Genomic DNA, 19,866 nt, shown 5'->3' on the forward strand with positions numbered 1-19,866 from the left:
AAAAAATATATATATATATATATATATATATATATATATATATATATCGAGAGAGGAGAAAAGGGTGGTCTCATGCACTGCTGGCCAGAAAGCAGGAATGAAAAGAAATATATATTGGTTTTTAAATTATTTATTTTTATTTATTTATTATTTATGTATTTAATTTTGTGATGGAGTCCCGCTGTGTTGCCCAGCCTGGAGTGCAGTGGCATAATCTTGGCTCACTGCAACCTCTGCCTCCCAGGTTCAAGTGATTCTCCTGTCTCAGCCTCCCGAGTAGCTGGGATTACAGGTACATGCCGCCATACCCGGCTAATTTTTTTTGTTTTGTATTTTAGTAGAGATGGGTTTCACCGTGTTGCCCAGGCTGGTCTTGAACTCCTGAGCTCAGGCAATCTACCCGCTTCGGCCCCCCAAAGTGCTAGGATTACAGGCATAAGCCACCGTGCCTGGCCTTTATTTTTATTTATTAAGAAAATGTTTTTAAAGACGGGTCTTGTTATATTGCCCAGGCTGGCTTTGAACTCCTGGCCTCAAGTGATCCTCCCTCCTCAAACTCCCAAATAGCTGAGACTCCAGGTGCATGCCACTGTGCCTGGCTGAGTTTTTATTTTTTTAAAGCAAGCTTTTGGTTTGAATTTTTTGTTCTCTCAGGCTGTGGACTTTGACCAGACTTGGAGATCCCATTGACTATTGGCTTCATGTGATTTCTCGTGTCTCATTTATTCACGCCTGCATCCAGGGGCTCTTGTTTTTCTCCATTCTCTTTTTCCGTTTTGATTTACTGGCTCCTGCAGCAGATTCCTTCTCAGTGCCAGCACCTGTTCCTGATTTTGTCATTCCTCATCCGCCAAGAGTATCCAGGCAGCATTTGCATCTAGACCAAGAGTTGGAGATCTGTCTATACCAGGGAGGACAATTATTGTTTATATTAGTAACATTTGGAAATTATCAGAGCCGGGCGCGGTGGCTCATGCTTGTAATCCAAGCACTTTGGAAGGCCGAGGAGCACAGATCACCTGAGGTCAGGAGTTGGAGACCCGCCTGACCAACATAGAGAAACCCTGTCTCTACTAAAAATACAAAATTAGTTGGGCGTGGTGGTGCATGCCTGTAATCCTAGCTTCTCAGGAGGCTGAGGCAGAAGAATTGCTTGAACCTGGGAGCCAGAGGTTGTGGTGAGCCGAGATCATGCCATTGTACTCCAGCCTGGGCAACAAGAATGAAGCTCCGTCTCAAAAAAAAAAAAAAAAAAGAAAAGAAAAAGAAAATCATCAGAAATTATGATTTACCATTTAAAGATAGGTTATTTTTCCATTTTCTGGTTCCTCTGTACAAAGATTAATTTGATTATTTGTATGTACCTTTCTGCTATTCTCAAACCTTCACACTTATGGTACCTTGAAAACTGCTGCCTTGTGAGTTATCACTGTTGCAAAGCATGAATTTTTTTCTTTTTACTTTTTGGTCAACTATTTTTTTTGGGGGAGAGGGGGAGGGTCCCGTTTTTTCTGTCCTGTATGTTTTCCTTCCCTTTGGGTTGCTTATGTTAATGACCAAGAATTATTTGTTCTATATTTTTCCATGCGTACACAATTATTTACAGATAAAATAGCCATGTATATATACACATATATGTAGCCTTATTGCCATTGTTTTACAAAAATAGAATCATACATAATGCTGTGCATTTTTATTTTTTATCTTGGTACTCCTGCACTGAAACATTTCCAAGTTATAGTTCTTTTTTTTTAATTTTTTATATTTTTTGGAGATGGTGTCTCACTCTGTCGCCAGATTGGAGTGCTGTAGTGCGATCTCAGCTCACTGAAACTCTCTGGTTCAAGTGATTCTCCTGCCTCAGCGTCCGGAGTAGCTGGGATTACAGGCACGCACCACCATGCCTGGCTAATTTTTGTATTTTAGTAGAGATGTAGTTTCCCTATGTTGGCCAGGATGGTCTTGATCTCCTGACCTCGTGATCTGCCCGCCTCAGCCTCCCAAAGTGCTGGGATTATAGGCGTGAGCCACCGTGCCTGGTCTTTTTTTTTTTTTTCCGAGACGGAGTCTTGCTCTGTCGCCCAGGCTGGAGTGCAGTGATGCGATCTTGGCTCAGTGCAAGCTCCGCCTCCCGGGTTCACACCATTCTCCTGTCTCAGCCTCCTGAGTAGCTGGGACTACACGCGCCCGCCACCGTGCCCGGCTAACTTTTTGTATTTTTAGTAGAGATAGGGTTTCACCGTGTTAGCCAGGATGGTCTCGATCTCCTGACCTCGTGATCTGCCCACCTTGGCCTCCCAAAGTGCTAGGATTACAGGCGCCTGAGCCACTGTGCCCAGCCTCCAAGTTATAGTTCTAATGATTCTTTTTATTTATTTATTTTTTTTGGGACAGAATGTCGCTCTGTCACCCAGGCTGAAGTGCAGTGGTGCAATCTTGGCTCACTGCAACCTCCACTTCCCAGGTTCAAGCAATTCTCCTGTCTCAGCCTCCTGAGTAGCTGGGATTACAGGCGCCCGCCACCACGCCCGGCTAATTTTTGTGTTTTTATTAGAGACGGGATTTCACCATGTTGGCCAGGCTGGTCTCAAATTCCTGACCTCAAGTGATCTGCCCACCTTGGCCTCCCAAAGTGCTGGGATTGCAGGTGGGAGCCACTGCCCCCGCCCGGCTAATAATTCTTTTTAAAAGGCTACATTGCATTGCATGTTGCAGATGTACAAACAGTTGCCTGTGGAATACTGACTTTGTTTCTGATTTTTACTATGATGGACAATGAAGCAATAGACATTCTTAAGCATCATTTTTTTTTTAATATACTGAGGATTTTATATTTCTGGTATAGGTTTCCAGGAGTTGGGTTGCTGAGTCAGAGAGCAGCCTCTGGCTTTCGAAACATTTCTACCAGTAGTTCATAAGTCTACCTTTTTCTTTCTTGCCAACAATAATTTCACTGGCACAAGAGTGTCATTGCTAGGTTGTATGGTATTTGCATAGTTAGTTTTATCTAGAGCGGCTGTACCATTTTGCGTTCCCACCAGTAGTGTGGCAGTGATCCAGTTTCTCTGTGTCCTTGCTAGCATTTGATTTTGTCATGACTTTGTATTTTAGCCATTCTGATAGGTGTGTAGTTGTGTCTTATTGTGGTTTGAATTTGCATTTCCCTAATGACTAATGATGTTGGACATCTTTTCCTGTGCTTGTTGGCCATCTGCATATCCCTTTTGGTGAGCTGTCTGTTCATTTCTTGTTCATTTTCTTGCTGTTAGGGCTTTTATTTTTATAGGGTGATTTCCTAGAAGTGGGATTGCTGGGTCAAAGGGTTATGCACCTTAAAAAAAATTATACTGGCCGAACACAGTGGCTCATACCTATAATTCTAGCACTTTGGGAGGCCAGGGCAGGAGGATTGCTTAAGCCCAGGAGTTACAGACCAGCCTGGGCAACATAGTGAGACCCCTGTCTTTACAAAAAAAAAAATTAAAAAAATTAACTGACCGTGGTAGCGCCTGTGGTCTCAGCTACTTGGGAGGCTGAGGTGGAAGATCACTGGGACCCGGGAGGTCGAGACTGCGGTGAGCCATGATTTTGCCACTGCACTCCAGTGTGGGTGACAGAATGAGACCCTATCTCAACAACAGCAACAAAAATTATACTGCCTGATGTCTTTGCAGAAAGGTATAGCAATTCATATTTCTATTCCTATTGGCAATACCTATTTCCCCATGCTCTTGCTAGCACTATGATTGCTTTTGAAGTCCTTAGTCCTAACCTGGGCCTCAGTGTTACTATACTTTCTTGGGCTATTAGTGAGATTGAGTATCTTTTCTTATATTTATTGGCCAACTGTATTTCACCCTTTTGTGGTTGATTTCTTCACCTTCTGTGCTTTTTATTTTTTGAGTTGCTTGTCTTATCCATTTGTAGAAACAGAGTTTTTGTGAATATTAATTTTTTCAGCTATATGTTCTGTTAATATTTTCTCATCTGTCACTTTAGTTATTGTTTCACTGTATTTATGGTATCTTTTTGCCATGTAGACATTTACAAATTTTATGTAATTAATTCTGTGAACCTTAAAATGTTTTGGTTTTCGAGTACTGCATCTTATCCTCAGATTCTTCAGTATTTTTCTCAGTTATTTTTACTGTAAACGTTTTCATTTTTTACACTTAACATTTTTCTTTGATCTTGACCCATCTGGAATTTCATTCTGTCTGTGGTTTGCATTAGGAATTTATCCTTATGAGACAGGAATTTATCCTTATTTTTTTTTCAGCTGCATGATCCTTTGTGTTAACGACATTGGTTAAGCAGCCCATTCTGCCCATCTGACTGAAGTGCTACCATTATTATAGATAAAATGCTTCCATATGTATTAGGATTTTTTTTGGGTGGGGGGGCTTTCTTTTGTTTTGTTCTTTTTTTTGAGACGAAGTCTCTCTCGTCACCCAGGCAGGAGTGCAATGGCGCGATCTTGGCTCACTGCAACCCCAGCATCCCGGGTTCAAGTGATTCTCCTGCCTCAGCCTCCCAGGTAGCTGGGATTACAGGTACCTGCCACCACGCCTGGCCTGTACCCCAGAACAAGGGGTGCCAAGTCCTTCCTGCATTTGTTATTGGAATTGTATTAAGTTTGTACATTAATTTGGGAAAAATTGATGTTTTGAGTTTAATAAGTCTTCCCATTCAGGAAAATGGTGTTTCTTTTTATCTGTTTGATCTTTATGCCGTTTAACAAAATTTTATGTTTTTCTTCATATAGGGCTTGCCTATTTATTTTTAAAAATGATTTATTTTGGCTGGGCGTGGTGGTTCACACCTGTAGTCCTAGCACTTTGGGAGGCCAAGGCAGGTGGATCACGAGGTCAGGAGTTTGAGACCACCCTGGCCAAGATGGTAAAACCCCATGTCTACTAAAAATTAAAAAAAAAAAAATCAGCCGGGCGTGGTGGTGGGCACCTGTAATCCCAGCCACTCGGGAGGCTGAAGCAGGAGAATCACTTGAACCTGGGAGGCGCAGGTTGCAGTGAGCCGAGATCGTGTCACTGCACTTCAGCCTGGGTGACAGAGTGAGACTCTGTCTCAAGAAAAAAAAAAAAGAAAGATATATTTTATTTTTGTTACTGTTATGCATCAAGTTCCTCTCCTCTAGTTTTGTCTACCTAAAGTCAACTTTTAATGTTATGGTGTCTTTGTTTTTCTTTGTGCAAATTTGTGGGGTATATTATCTTTTACACTTTTTTTTGTCTTTTTTTTTTTTTTCCTTTTTGTGGAGAATGCGGTCTCGCGATATTGCCCATGCAGGTCTCGAACTCCTGGGCTCAAGCTGTTCTCCTGCCGATGCCTCCGTAAGAGCTGGGATTACAGGTGTGAGCCACTGAGCCCGGCCTGGGGTATATTATCTTTTATTGCAGTGTTTTTACATTTGTGGGTTAGAAAGATTTAAATCTTTTTGTAGATCTGTTTTTTTTTATTTAATATTACAATCTAACCTTTTAAAAAATGCTATATCCAAGTTTTCTATAAGCATTTTAAATAATTGCATGATTTTTCCTCACCATAACCTTTAAACCATATTTCTTCATTCCTTATCTGTAGTTCAAGGCAATAATATTTCTGGTTCTTGAAGCCCGAATACTTTTTTAAATGCTTGTTTTAGCAAATGAGTTAGGTTCAGAAAAGTATGAAAGCAAGAAAACCATGACCAGTAATGCTTTTTGTTTTTTTGCGATGGAGTCTCGCTCTGTCACCCAGGCTGGAGTGCAGTGGCACTATCTCGGCTCACGGCAAGCTCCGCCTCCCAGGTTCACGCCATTCTCCTGCTTCAGCCTCCCGAGTAGCTGGGACTACAGGCCCGCCACCATGCCCGGCTACTTTTTTGTATTTTTAGTGGAGACAGGGTTTCACTGTGTTAGCCAGAATGGTCTTGATCTCTTGACCTCGTGATCTGCCCGCCTCGGCCTCCCAAAGTGCTGGGATTACAAGAGTGAGCCACCGCGCCTGGCAACTATGACCAGTAAATCTTTCACCAAGTGGCTCTTAATTTTTTTACATAATTCCCTTTGGAATTGTTATATATGTAAATATATATATATAGATAGATAGATAGATAGATAGATAGATAGATATAGATATATAATTTTTTTTTTTTTTTGAGACGGAGTTTTGCTCTTGTTGCCCAAGCTGGAGTGCAGTGGCGTGATCTTGGCTCACTGCAAACCTCTGCCTCCCGGGTTCAAGCGATTCTCTTGGCTCAGCCTCCCAAGTAGCTGGGATTACAGGCACGTACCACCACACCCGACTTTTTTTTGTATTTTTAGTAGAAACGGGATTTCACCATTTTAGCCAGGCTGGTCTCAAACTCCTGACCTCAGGTGATCTGCCTGCCTTGGCCTCCCAAAGCACTGGGATTACAGGCATGAGCCACTGCACCTGGCCTGTATTGTATTTTTCAAGCATAACTGAGACCATACTTAACATACAGTTACCTATCCTGCTTATTTTTCATCTTATGTTATAAAGATATTGACTTATCAGTATAAGCTCTTGGTAAATATTTTAAAGACCTAAATAGCTATTGTTTATCTAACCAGTTCCCCAAGTGTTAAATATTTAGGCAGTTTCTAAACTTTTTTTTTTTTTAAGACAAGGTCTTGTTCTGTCACCCATGCTAAAGTGCAGTGGTGCGATCCCGGCTCACTGTAGCCTCCGCTTCCTGGGCTCAAGCAACCCTTCTGTCTCAGCTTCCTGAGTAGCTGGGACTACAGGCATGCGCAACCACACCCAGGGCTAATTTTTTTATTTTTTGTAGAGATAGGGTTTCAGGCCACTGTGCCTGTAATCTTAACGCTTTAAAAAAATTATTTATTTATTTATTTTTTAGAATAGAGATGAGGTTTTGCTTTGTTGCCCAGGCTGGTTTCAAACTCCTGGCCTCAAGTGATCTGCCCACCTCGGCCTCCCAAATTGCTGGGATTGCAGGTGTGAGCAACTGCGCCCCACCTGTTCTTAGATTTTTATCTGATTTGTAGATTATAGTCTAGGATTGATTTCTGCTCCTGAAATTCATGGATTAAGCATGTGAACCTTTTTGAAAATTAATTAAACATAAATATAGCTCATGGCTCATTTTTTTTTTTTTTTGAGATGGAGTCTCGCTCTGTCCCCCAGGCTGGAGTGCAGTGGTGCCATCTCGGCTCACTGCAACCTCCCCCTCCTGGGTTCAAGCGATTCTCCTGTCTCAGCCACCTGAGTAGCTGGGATTACAGGCACTCGCCACCATGCTCAGCTAATTTTTGTATTTTTAGTAGAGATGGGGTTTTGCCATGTTGGCCAGGCTGGTCTGGAACTCCTGACCTCAGGTGATCCTCCCATCTCGGCCTCCCAAAGTGCTGGGATTACAGGCGTGAGCCACTGAGCCCAGCCTCATGGCCCATTTCAAATGATTGTCATGTAATGGCCTTGTTCTTACTGTCTTAAATCTGAGATATGGCTCATACTGTTGATTGACTGATTTTCACTGGTACAGCAGACTCCATTCCAGCTAACATTGGAATTTTACAAATGACGATAATCCAGTCCATTTTCATGATTGTAGTTGGTTTTCTCAAAAAGGCTCCAGTAAAGCTGTAACATAGTAAAAGAATTGCCGGTTGTGGTGGTTCATGCCTGGAATCCCAGCACTTTGGGAGGCTGAGGCAGGCGGATCACAATTCAGGAGTTCGAGACCAGCCTGGCCAACACAGTGAAACCCCATCTCTACAAAAAATATAAAAATATTAGCTGGGCATGGTGGTGCACACCTGTAATCCCAGCTCCTTGGGAGGCTGAGGCAGGACAATTGCTTGAACCCAGGAGACAGAGGTTGCAGTGAGCGGAGATCGCGCCACTGCACTCCATTTTGGGCAACAGAGCGAGACTCTGACTCAAAAAAAAAAAATCAAGTAAATAGGTCTTTCTGTCACAAGGTTAATTTGATGCAGTTTATAAAAATGCAGCATTCATGGCTGATCCTGTTGTTTTAATGATTGCCATGCAAAAGTATAGGATTCTTAGGAATCTTTTAATAGATTCGTGTGCAGATTAAGCAGTCTTGAAATATAGGACAGGCTGGGCTTGGTGTCTCACTTCTGTAATCCTAGCACTTTGGGGGGCCAAGGTAGGCGGATCACTTGAGGTCAGCAGTTTGAGATCAGCCTGGCCAACATGGTGAAACCCTGGCTCTACTAAAAATACACACAAAAAATGGCCGGACGTGGTGGCCCGTGGCTGTAATCCCAGCTACTCCAGAGGCTTGAGGCAGGATAATCTCGAACGTGGGTGGCAGAGGTTACAGTGAGCCGAGATCACGTCACTGCACTCCAGCCTGGGGAACAGAGCGAGGCTCCATCTCAAAAAAAAAAAAAAGATAGGACAAAGCTCATGAAAACAAATGCTTGCTGAATCTTCACAGAAAACTAGTTGAGCTGGTGCAGTGTCCAGGTCTGCTGGTCTTGGTGGACAGTTTCAAATGCAGCAGGAGGAAGTTACTTCATTTTCCATTCACAACTCTTTTGCTGCTTTATCAGACTTTTACTGAGCACCTGGGGGGAAGTTTTTTTTTTTTTTTTTTTAAACAGCTTTATTGAGGTCTAGTTTATATACCGTTAAAATTGTAAGTATACAATTCAGTGATTTTTTTTTTTCAATTCAGTGATTTTTGTGCTTTTTTTTTTTCTTTGAGGCAGAGTTTCGCTCTTGTTGCTCAGGCTGGAGTACAGTGGCACAATCTCAGCTCACTGCGACCTCCGCCTCCCGGGTTCAAGCGATTCTCCAGCCTCAGCCTCTGGAGTAGCTGGGATTACAGGAGCCTGCCACCACACCCAGCTAATTTTTGTATTTTTAGTAGAAATGGAGTTTTGCCATGTTGGCCAGGTTGGTCTTGAACTCCTGACCTCAGGTGATCTGCCCACCTCAGCCTCCCAAAGTGTTGGGATTACAGGCATGAGCCACAACGCCCAGCCAATTTTTGTGCTTTTTAATAAATTTATAGTGTTGTGTAACCATCGATCACAATTCAGTTTTAGAGCATTTCCATTATCCCCCCAAATTCCCTTGTGCTAGTTAACACTTAATCCCTAATTTCAACTCCAGCCTTAGAGAACCACTGATTAAATGACTTTCTGTTTCTATATCCAAATGTTCCTTGACTTATGATGGGGTTATGTCCTGATAATCCTATTGTAGAGTCAAAAAGTCATAAATTGAACCATGGTTATGTTAAGGACTGTCTGTATTTACCCTTCTTAGCCGTTTCATGGAATCATACAGTGTGTGGTGTTTTGGATGTGGCTTCCTTCCTCTAGCATAGTATTTTCAATGTTCTTCCATGTTGTAGCATGGATCAGTACCTTATTCCTTTTTTTTTTTTTTTTTTTGAGACCAAGTCTCTCTCTGTTGCCCAAGCTGGAGTGCAGTGATGTGATCTCAGCTCACTGCAACCTATGCCCCCTGGGTCCAAGGAATTCTCCTGCTCCAGCCTTCCCAGTAGCTGGAATTACAGGTGCCTGCTGTAACGCCCAGTGAATTTTTCTGTTTTTAGTAGAGTTGAGATTTCACCCTGTTGGCCAGGCTGGTCTCGAACTCCTGACCTCAAGTGATCTACCTGCCTTGGCCTCCCAAAGTGCTGGTATTATAGGTGTGAGCTACTGCACCCCACCTGACTGGTGCTTTTTAAAAAATTAAAATATTCACTGTTGTTAAGTGACCCACTTATTTAAAATAATATTCCTAGTTCATTAACTTGGAATGGAAGTTTGGTGTGATAAAATGGCAAGGAGGCAGCTGACCTCTCCAGTGAAGCCAGAGTGTCTGCAGTAGAGAGTATTCTGGGAACCCCCCAGCCCTCTCAACAAAGTGAGACTCTGTCTCAAAAAAAAAAAAAAAAAAAAAGTAGCTGCGCATGGTAGTGCATGCCTGTAGTCTCAGTTACTTGGTAGGCTGAGGTGGGAGGATCGTTTGAGCCTGGGAGATTGAGGCTGCAGTGAGCTATGATCACACCACCGCACTCCAGCCTGGGTAACAGAGCAAGACCCTGTCTCAAAAAAAAAAAAGAAAAGAAAAGAAAAGAAAAGAAAGAACTCTACTAAAGCTAGTGCTCCTTTCATTTCGTGGGAATTATCATCTACTGCTTCCCATATAAGATGGTTCATTAACTTAATTAACTTCCCATATAAGATGGGAAGCAGTGGAAAGCCTTAGTGTGACCTCGTGTATGACATAGTGCTTCCAAGATGTGTCCACCAGAAGCTAAAGAGTAGATTCCTGTGCTTGGACAGGTGTGCTCTACTTGATTCACTAGTTTTAACTCACCTGGATTCAAATGACCGTTTATACGAAATCTCCTGAGATGCATCTCCCACCAAAATGTACATCAGGTTCATGATCTTGAGTTCCCTGACTGGAGAGACCATGTCGGTCACATTCTCTGTAGCAACCAGGCATGGTGCTAAGTGCACGGGAGCTCACAGTTAGCAAGAGCAGGCAGCCCTGGAAATCAGACCATTAACAGAGAGTGGCGAGCGCTGCAGTACAAAGAAGCTCAGAATGAGGAAACATTCAGGAAGGCTTCCTGGAGGAGGGAATACGTGAGCTAAGTCTTTTTTTTTTTTTTTCTTTTGAGACTGAGTTTCGCTCTTGTTGCCCAGGCAGGAATATAATGGCACGATCTCGGCTCACGGCAACCTCCGCCTCCCGGATTCATGTGATGCTCCTGCCTCAGCCTCCAGAGTAGCTGGGATTATAAGCATGTGCCGCCACACCCAGCTCATTTTATATATATATTTTTTTAGTAGAAATGGGGTTTCACCATGTTGGCCAGGCTGGTCTTGAACTCCTGACCCCAGGTGATCCACCCGCCTTGGCCTGCCAAAGTGCTGAGATTATAAGTGTGAGCCACCGCACCCAGTCGAGATCTGCCTTGAATGACCAGTAGATACGTGCTCAGATCCAAACTGGAGGTGGAAAGGGCATATGGGGAGGGTGTTAAGTAGAACGGCCTTTGGCGAGGAAGGCATCATAGTGATCTAATTAAAAGACTAGCATCCACCTGGGTATTCGTGCAGTGTTAGGTTAGTTGTGACCTGTGTGCCTCTGTGACACAGTACTGATGATGTAACCCAAACCTTGGGGACTGGATTTGTGCAGTTCGCCTGCATTCCATTCCTCTTAGGGCCCTGGTTTTATCTAGAGCTGGCTGGGCAGTTATTGACTTGTGCATTGGAACCAAGCAAACTAATAGCAATTGTTGAGTTGATTGCTGTATTTGCAGAAGATTCTTTTAAAGATAGAGGCTTTGGTTAATTACAGAGAACTCTCAACATACCCCAGAGTTTTTTTGTTTTTGTTTTTGTTTTTTTCTCTCTGAGACAGACCCCTGATCTAGGTCATTGTTGCTATGTGCCATGGTTTTGGTTTCTGTGGTATTTAGAGAGTTTTGGTGGACGTCCCAGCTTTCAGGAAGCCTTAAAATATGTGCTTATGAGGCTGGGTGCAATGGTTCATTCCTGTAATCCCAGCACTTTGGGAGGCCAAGGCGGGCAGATCACCTGAGTTCAGGAGTTGGAGACCAGCCTGGCCGACATGGTGAAACCCCATCTCTACTAAAAATACAAACATTAGCCAGGCATGGTGGCAGGCGCCTGTATTCCCAGCTACATGGGAGGCTGAGGCAGGAGAATCGCTTGGACCTGGGAGGTGGACGTTGCAGTGAGCCGAGATTGTGCCATTGCACTCCAGCCTGGGCAACAAGAGCAAAACTCCATCTCAAAAAAAAAAAAAAAAAAAAAAGTGCCTGTGTGTACAGAGACTAACGTATGCACATCTATAATAATTAAGAGTGATATCTGCCCAGCAAAGAGGTTTGTTTCAATGTGGGGGAGTATTCTGGGATCTCTGGTTCAAGGTTAATCATTGATTTACCTACCCACTGGAAAAAGATTTGTGGAACACACATTATATACCAGGTGCTGAGCTAGGTGCCAGGAATCCAGCAAAGATAAGATAGAAGGTGAAAACCAAGCAGTATGGTTGAGGGGAAGTATTAGATTTGTGATGCCTAATAGGCTCCCTTCTGTGCAGGGCCAGCTTTGGTCATTTGCCAGTGGTGGCCTACAATGCTGGGATCGATTAGTGATGTCTGTCATGGGCACCGAATACAGTGGAAAGGCATGAATGCTGTGGATTTGCTGATGCTGTGTTAGGGGTGTGTAGTGTAGACAGAATGACGAGTAAAGATTGAGTAAGGTAGCCAGAGGACTTTTATCTTAGAATAAAGGATGTTTTTCGTGATGATATGGGGGATGGAGGAAACTACATTGGATCAGCTTGCGAGGATGGAGTTCAGGTACAGATGTCACTGCTTTTTATGCAGTTTTCAGGAGGTCACGTAAATGTCAGCCTCAGCTTCTTCAAGTGTAAAATGGAGATAATAGTACGTGCCTCATCTATATTAAAGTGTTGATGAGAAGAGTAAAATAATGGGTATGAAAATATTTTACTACCCACAGAGTGATAAACACCTGGAGTATTGTTACCATGGGTGTCGGGATGGGTGGAGCAGCAAATGCCCGAGGCCAGGCAAGGCTGAGCCGGATGGTGGTGGCCTCAAGGCCTTTGCACTGGGCCTGTCTTTCCAGCCTGCTGCCCTTGTCATATCCAGCTCGTAATTCCAAGGCCACCTTCATTCAGCCCACAGAATCTAAGCCTGTCCTTGCCCCATCGCCACCTGCCATCTCATCCTGTCTTATTTTCTTCTAAGTTCTGATTAACTGAAATGGTCTGGTTAACTTATTTGTGTACCTCCCTTTGCTAGAAACATGCACATGAGTGAGGCAGAAACCGTGCCTGTCTCACTCTCACTGTCATCTCCTCAGAGCCTAGAACAGTGCCTGGCATGTGGGAGACATTCAGAATTTCTTAACTTTTGTTGTATGAATGAATGGAAAGGGCTCAGAAGTCCACAGACCCAGTTGGGCAGAGGCTCAGGAGCCCTGAGAAGATTGCTAAGATCAAGTGCAGTTGCTGTGACCTCATCTCTTTGTTCCTGAATCTCCTATTTCTTTGGTTATTGAGAAACAAATTCAATTAAATGCACAGTAATTGTAACTTAATTGAAAATTCCATCAACTCACAATCTGAGTTCACAATGTATTCTCTTACAACAGAATAAAGAACAAGAATCAGAATTCATATTATTATTATTTTTAGAGCATGTAATCTCATATAATCTCTTTAGAGCATGTAATCTCTTATATAAAGAATGAGAATCAGAATTCATATATTCTTTTTAGAGCATGTAACAGGCCATGAAATTACACAATGTTTCCAATTTGGCAGCCTGGTGAATTCAGTCTCCAAAAACATAATCTTGTTCCTTAAACTACATGTAATATGAATTAGAGTTAAAACTTGTGAATTGGATGCAATTAACATCCAACCGCTCCCCACACTGAACTGATTGGTTTTTAACTTTTCCCCCCTCTGCACCCCCGCCAGCTGGCACCCGTCCCTGTTCCCATGTTCCTTGTGAATTGTTACTGTGCCAGTCTGATGCATATGGGTAGACTGTGCTGGGCATCCTGAGCTCTGTGAAATGAACATCAACACGGGAGGTGTGTGGAGTGGCGCAGGTCAGTTACCAAGCCTGCACATCCAGGTGTCTCCTGTCTGCCTTCACGCTGAGGTTTACACCTGGCGGCTTACTCACTTCCTGGAGATGCTGGGGCCGCCCTAGTTGCTACTCCCTTTTCTGGGGGGACTGATGAGTCATTGGTTTTCTCACAGGGTCACCTGTCTGTGTGCCCAGTTTGAAGCCGTCCTGCAGCATGGCTTGAAGAGGAGTCGAGGATTGGCACTCACAGCGGCAGCGATCAAGCAGGCAGCGGGCTTTGCCAGCAAAACCGAAACAGGTACTGCTCTGCCTGGCTGTAGCTTGGAGGAGCTTGTCTTCCTTCTGCTCTTTTTCTTTTTATTTATTTTTTAATAGTGGGCAGGGCAGTGATCGCGTGGGACTTGGTGGGGTGGTGTATGGGCACAGAAATCCATGTCTTAATAGTAGTCAAAACGTAATGGTGTTGTCTGGCATCTTAATTTAAATGAAGTCATCTTTTGTGCAGAATTCTCAGAGCCACATGGTACAGTCTCCTCTGGGTTCGGGGACCTGTAGCACACTGGTTTATTTCACCACTGTGGCGTGCCAGTTGCTGGGAAATTAATAATCTGTTTTAATTTGATGCCTGAGGATAGCATGGCATTTCATAATTAATGTCTTCCATACCAGCAACAGAAACCCCAGAGGTTCTGTTATCATCCAATTTAATGTTGGAAAAACATTTCCATGTGAGTGACAAGCATAATGCTAAATAATAACTATTAATGCTTAGTACTTAGTGCAAGACTTGCACTTTGATGTAAATTAACTCATTCAGTTCGATAGCCCTGTGAGTAGTAGGGACTGTTATTACTGCCACTGTACAGATGAGGAAACTGTTCATAGTGATCTGCTTTGGAGCTGAACCTTGAAGTGGATCATGTCATGTAACAAATGTCCTGTGGTCTCCTCCTCCCCTGAGCTTTCAGTTCCAGCCCTGACCACGGCTGCTGCTGGGAATCCCGGAATCTTTCTTATCACTATGTCAGTGTCGTTGCTGAGTAAAATGTGCTGTCTTTGGCTGGTTCCCCTTTCACAGCCAAAAGTTGGACCTTGTTGCATTTGGTGGCGGTGTGTGGAAATTCTCTGCTAACATAATCCTTAGTCTTTCCCTCTCCTTCATGTTGCTGTATCATCCTTTCTTTTTTCTCAACCCTTCAATAGATCTTTTTATTTATTTACTTATTTATTTTTTAGAGTTGGGGTCTTGCTCTGTTGCCCAGGCTGAAGTGCAGTGGTGTGATCATGGCTCACCAAAGCCTGGAACTACTAGGCTCAAGTGATCCCCTTGCCTGAGCCTCTGAAATAGCTAGGATTGCAGGCTTGCACCACCATGCCCGGCTGGTTTTTAAACTTTTATAGAGACAGAGATCTTGTTCTGTTGGCCAGGCTGGTCTCAAACTCCTAGGCTCAAGTGATCTTCCCACCTCAGCCTGCCAACTAGCTGGGATTACAAATGTGAGACACTGTGCCTGGCTCCAACAGTTCTTTTTTTTAAAAAAATTATTATTAAAATTATTTTATTGGTACATAATATTTGTACATATGTATGGGGTACCTGTGATTTTTTATTTTTTATTGAGATGGAGTCTTGCTCTTGTCGCCCAGGCTGGAGTGCAATGGCACCGTCTTGGCTCAATGCAACCTCCGCTTCCTGGGTTCAGGCGATTCTCCTGCCTGAGCCTCCCGAGTAGCTGGGATTACAGGTGCCCACCACCATGCCTGGCTAGTTTTTGTATTTTTAGTAGAGACAGGTTTCACCATGTTGGCCAGGCTGGTCTCGAACTCCTGACCTTGTGATCTGCTCACTTCGGCCTTCCAGAGTGCTGGGATTATACGTGTAAGCCACTGCGCCTGGCCTTGGTACTTGTGATATTTTGATACATGCCTAGAATGTGTAATCACTTTCAACAGATGTTTGCTTTTTTTTTTTTTCTTTCTTTGGGCAGTCTCCCGGGGCTAGGGTAAGTTCAGAGAGGCTCCTAGATCTTTGTTTCTTGTTTATTTCACCAGTTACTCATTTGTAGAAATGAGTTGTTCAATAAACACACAGTTGTTCAATAAAATTATGTTCACTAAACAAATACATCTTGGTTGGAAGGAAGGGCATTATTCATTGCGTGCAGTACTGTATTTCATGGTTCCTGAGGTACCATATACCAGGATCACTCCAGCTTGCTACAGGGAAAGTGATTAATTTTTGAGGAACAAAGCAAAAATTAATGAAAAGTGACCCAGAGCTCTACACAGACTTGGCTTGCTGTCTTTGTAGCCACTGGAAACCCAAGTAGCCAGTACAGAATACAGTATGGAGAAATGAATTATTTTCCATTCCACTTGGGAAAGGAGAAAGAACCACTGCCGTTATTGGCGTTTGATGCATTTGATGGCATGACCTTGGAATTTGATTTTTTTTTTTTTTTTTAGATGGAGCCTCACTCTGTTGCCCAGTCTGGAGTGCAGTGGCATGATCTCAGCTCACTGCAACCTCTGCCTCCCAGGTGCAAGTGATTCTCCAGCCTCAGCCACCTGAGTAGCTGGGACTATAGGTGTGTGCCACCATGTCTGGCTAATTTTTGTATTTTTAGTAGAGATGGAGTTTCACCATGTTGGCCAGGCTGGTCTCGAACTCCTGACTTCAGGTAATCTGCCCGCCTCGACCTCCCAAAGTGCTGGGATTACAGGCATGAGCCACCACGCCTGGCTGGAATTTGATGTTCTTTTAATCACTGATATATCATCGTCAGGTTATAGGTTGGCAGTCAATTACAAGGTGATCGGGGCCATTCAGAATATACCAGAGACACAGTTACTGTTGCTGAGCTGCCTGTAAAATTGAAGTCTAATCTTCCCTGTCTGTTCGGCAGCCTTGGGCAATGAGGATCTGACTTTGAAACACTGCCTTCCCTTGCTTTCTGCGATGCCATAGCCTCTTGGCACACTTTCTTCTTCTTTTCTGATCCTTGTTGGCATATCACTTCCATACCCTCAAATATTATTCATCCTTGGATTCATTGTTGGCTCTTGTTTCTATGCATACTGTTTGGATTCCTTGGTGAAGTTGCTCTGTATGTGCCTGTTATTCTTAGTCATACCCGCAGCCCAGAGCACTTCCTTGAACTCTGTCTCATGAATGTCTCTATTTGGCGTACAGCACGGGCTTGTCAGTCTCCAAAACTGAATTCTGATCTTCATCCATATGTGTTCCTGTGTTTCTTGCTTAGTAAATGGCTCTGCCTTTTACCCAGGTCCCCTGGACAGCTCTTGGGCTTCCTCCCAGCCTTCTCCTTCTCCCTCTTCTCTGCCCCAAAACCAGTCCCACAAAGAGCATTGTTTTCTGTCTCTCACATGGGTCCCTGAGCCACTCGCGGTTCCTCCATCCTCAGTGAATTCTCTTCTTTCTCCCCGACTTGTGTTTTCCTGCCTTCAGTCTTGATCAGCTCTGACCCACTTTGCACATCATGGAGTGGTCTTCTTTAATGACCATCCCACTCCCCCACTTATTCCCCGTAACCCCACTAACTTAAAGCTCTTCTGTGGGTCTCTTGTAGAATCGGGACAAAGTATCCAGTGCGTGATCTGGCTTCTTGGGCTCTCTTCCCTACTGGCTGTATCTGTCTCTGTTCTACCTCTTATGCCGTGCTGTATGCCAGGGCTGACAGGCAGCGGCAGGTCTGACATCACAACTCTTTCATCCAGTTTGCAAATAAATGATGGCCTGAGTCCCACAAGCTCCCCTCCTGCCACGCCCCTGCCTTGGGACTCTTGAGACCTCTCCATAATTCAGCAGCTGAAGCACTAATGCCAGATCCTGTGTGGGGCAGGGCCTTCAGTGCCGCTGCCTGTGCTTTGCTTGGTGCCTCTCAGTAATTTAGATGATTCAGTTCTGTATTTTTTTTTTTTCTGAGACAATGTCTTGCTCTGTCGCCCAGGCTAGAGTGCAGTGGTGCGATCTCGGCTCACTGCAGCCTCTGCCTTCTGGGTTCAGGTGATTCTCGTGTCTTGGCCTCCTGAGTAGCTGGCACTACAGGTGTGTACCACCACGCTGCCTAATTTTTGTATTTTTGGTAGAGATGGGGTTTCCTCATGTTGGCTAGGCTGGTCTCGAACTCCTGGCCTCATGTGATCCACCTGCCTCAGCCTCCCAAAGTGCTGGGATTACAGGCGTTAGCCACTGTTCCTGGCCCAATCCTGTATTTTGAACAGCTCTCCTAGTTTCTGTTGTCTTGAAACTCTTCAAGTCTGGCAGTTCTTTCCCTTCTGCTACCTTCCTTCCTTCCCCAGCTCTCACCCAAGCTCCTACTGGCGAAACTTCTATTCTCTCTTAAAAAAAAAATATGGCCGGGCGTGGTGGCTCATGCCTGTAATCCCAGCACTTTGGGAGGCTGAGGCGGGCGGATCATGAGGTCAGGAAATCGAGACCATCCTAGCTAACACGGTGAAACCCATTTCTACTAAAAATACAAAAAATTAGCCAGGCGTGGTGGCAGGTGCCTATAGTCCCAGCTACTTGGGAGGCTGAGGCAGGAGAATGGTGTGAACCCGGGAGGCGGAGCTTGCAGTGAGCCGAGATCGCGCCACTGCACTCCAGCCTGGGCAACAGAGTGAGACTCCATCTCAAAACAAAACAAAGCAAAACGAACAAAAAAAAAATTGGTAAAATATACATAATGAAATTTACCATTTCAGCCATTTGAAGTGTACAATTCAGTGTAAGTGTACTTAATGTACATTCACATGTCATACAGTAATCATTACCACCATTCATCTCAGAACCTTTCCATTTTTACAAACCAAAACTGTGTACTTGTTAAACACTAACACTCACTCCCTCCACACCCCTGTCCCTGGCAGCCAGCATTCTACTTTCTGCCTCAGTGCATTCTACTACTTTAGGTTCCTTGTACCAATGGAATCATGCAATATTTGTTCTTTTTTGTCTGGCTTTATTTAGCATAACATCTTCAAGGATCGTCCGTGTTGTAGTATGTGTCAGAATTTCCTTCTTCTTCTTCTTCTTTTTTTTTTTTTTTTTGATGGAGCCTTGCTCTGTTGCCCAGTTTGCTGGAGTACAGTAAGTAGCGCTATCTCAGCTCACCACAACCTCCGCCTCCTGGGTTCAAGCGATTCTCCTGCCTCAGCCTCCCAAGTAGCTGAGATTATAGGCACATGCCACCATGCCCGGCTAATTTTTGTATTTTTAGTAGATACGTGGTTTCACTATGTTGGCCAGGCTGGTCTCGAACCCCTGACCTTGTGATCCACCCACCTCGGCCTCCCAAAGTGCTGTGATTACAGGCATGAGCAACCGCGCCTGGCCCAGAATTTTCTTCTTTTTAAAGGCTGAACAATATTTTTGAGGGTATGTAGAGCCCATATTTTGTTTATTCCCATGACAGTTGGGTGTCTTCCACTTATGGGCTATTGTGAATGGTACTGCTGTGAATATGAAGATACAAATACTTGTTTTTTCCACTTTTAGTTCTTTTGGGGCATACACCCAGAAGGACAATGTTGGATCATATGATAATTCTATGTTTAATTATTTTTTAGAAACCATCAGAGGGTTTTCCATAGAGGCTATACCCTGTTGCATTCCCACTAGCAATGCACACGAGATCCATTTTCTCCACCATCCTTCCACATCCTTGCCAACTCCATAGCCTTGCCAGTGTTGGGTTTTTATTTATTTTGTGAGATAGAATCTCACTTTGTCACCCAGGCTGGAGTGTGATCTTGGCTCACTGTAGCCTCCACCCCCCAGGTTCAAGTGATTCTCCTGCCTCAGTTTCCCAAGTAGCTGGGATTACAGGCGTGCGCCACCATGCCTGGCTAATTTTTGTATTTTTAGTAGAGGCAGGGTTTCACCACGTTGGCCAGGCTGGTCTCGAGCTCCTGGCCTCAAGTGATCTGCCCGCCTTGGCCTCCCAAAGTGCTGGAAGTACAGGTGCGAGCCACTGTGCCCGGCCAATGCTGGCTTTTTAAATTAGAGAAAAGGTATATAGCTTTAATTGTATACATGGGGAGAACCAGAGAGTGATTACCACCCCCTTTTTTCATATATATATATGTATGTATAGTAATTTTATTATTTTTTTGTAGGGACAGTATCTTACTATCTTGCCCAGGCTGGTCTCAAATTCCTTGCCCTAAGTGATCCTCCCACCTTGGCCTCC

At 44.0% G+C, this 19,866-nt stretch overlaps 1 protein-coding gene across 21 annotated transcripts in view, besides 1 other annotated feature; it reads left to right on the forward strand.

Annotated features, from left to right (window-relative positions):
* Positions 1-19,866, forward strand: part of SNX29 (sorting nexin 29) — a 597,554-nt gene that overhangs the window by 36,762 nt on the left and 540,926 nt on the right. For 19 of the 21 annotated variants that reach the window (XR_001752024.3, NM_032167.5, XM_017023874.2 and 16 more), the window contains exon 4: positions 13,825-13,949. Coding sequence is in view for 18 of the 21 variants with exons in the window: in NM_032167.5 (NP_115543.3) it covers positions 13,825-13,949 (125 nt within the window). In the remaining 3 variants the exon portion in view is untranslated. Of the gene's footprint in view, positions 1-13,824; positions 13,950-19,866 lie in introns of those variants that run through there. The other 2 variants (XM_047434886.1, XM_047434885.1) reach the window with 1 other exon arrangement.
* Positions 13,907-13,976: an enhancer, noted in NCBI's record as "active region_10463". NCBI's record gives its function as "activates an Ori minimal core promoter by ATAC-STARR-seq in GM12878 lymphoblastoid cells {active_cell/tissue: GM12878}" and the evidence as "EXISTENCE:reporter gene assay evidence [ECO:0000049][PMID:35858748]".

This window comes from Homo sapiens, chromosome 16, assembly GCF_000001405.40.
Source record: "Homo sapiens chromosome 16, GRCh38.p14 Primary Assembly".
NCBI classification, from domain to species: Eukaryota; Metazoa; Chordata; class Mammalia; order Primates; family Hominidae; genus Homo; species Homo sapiens.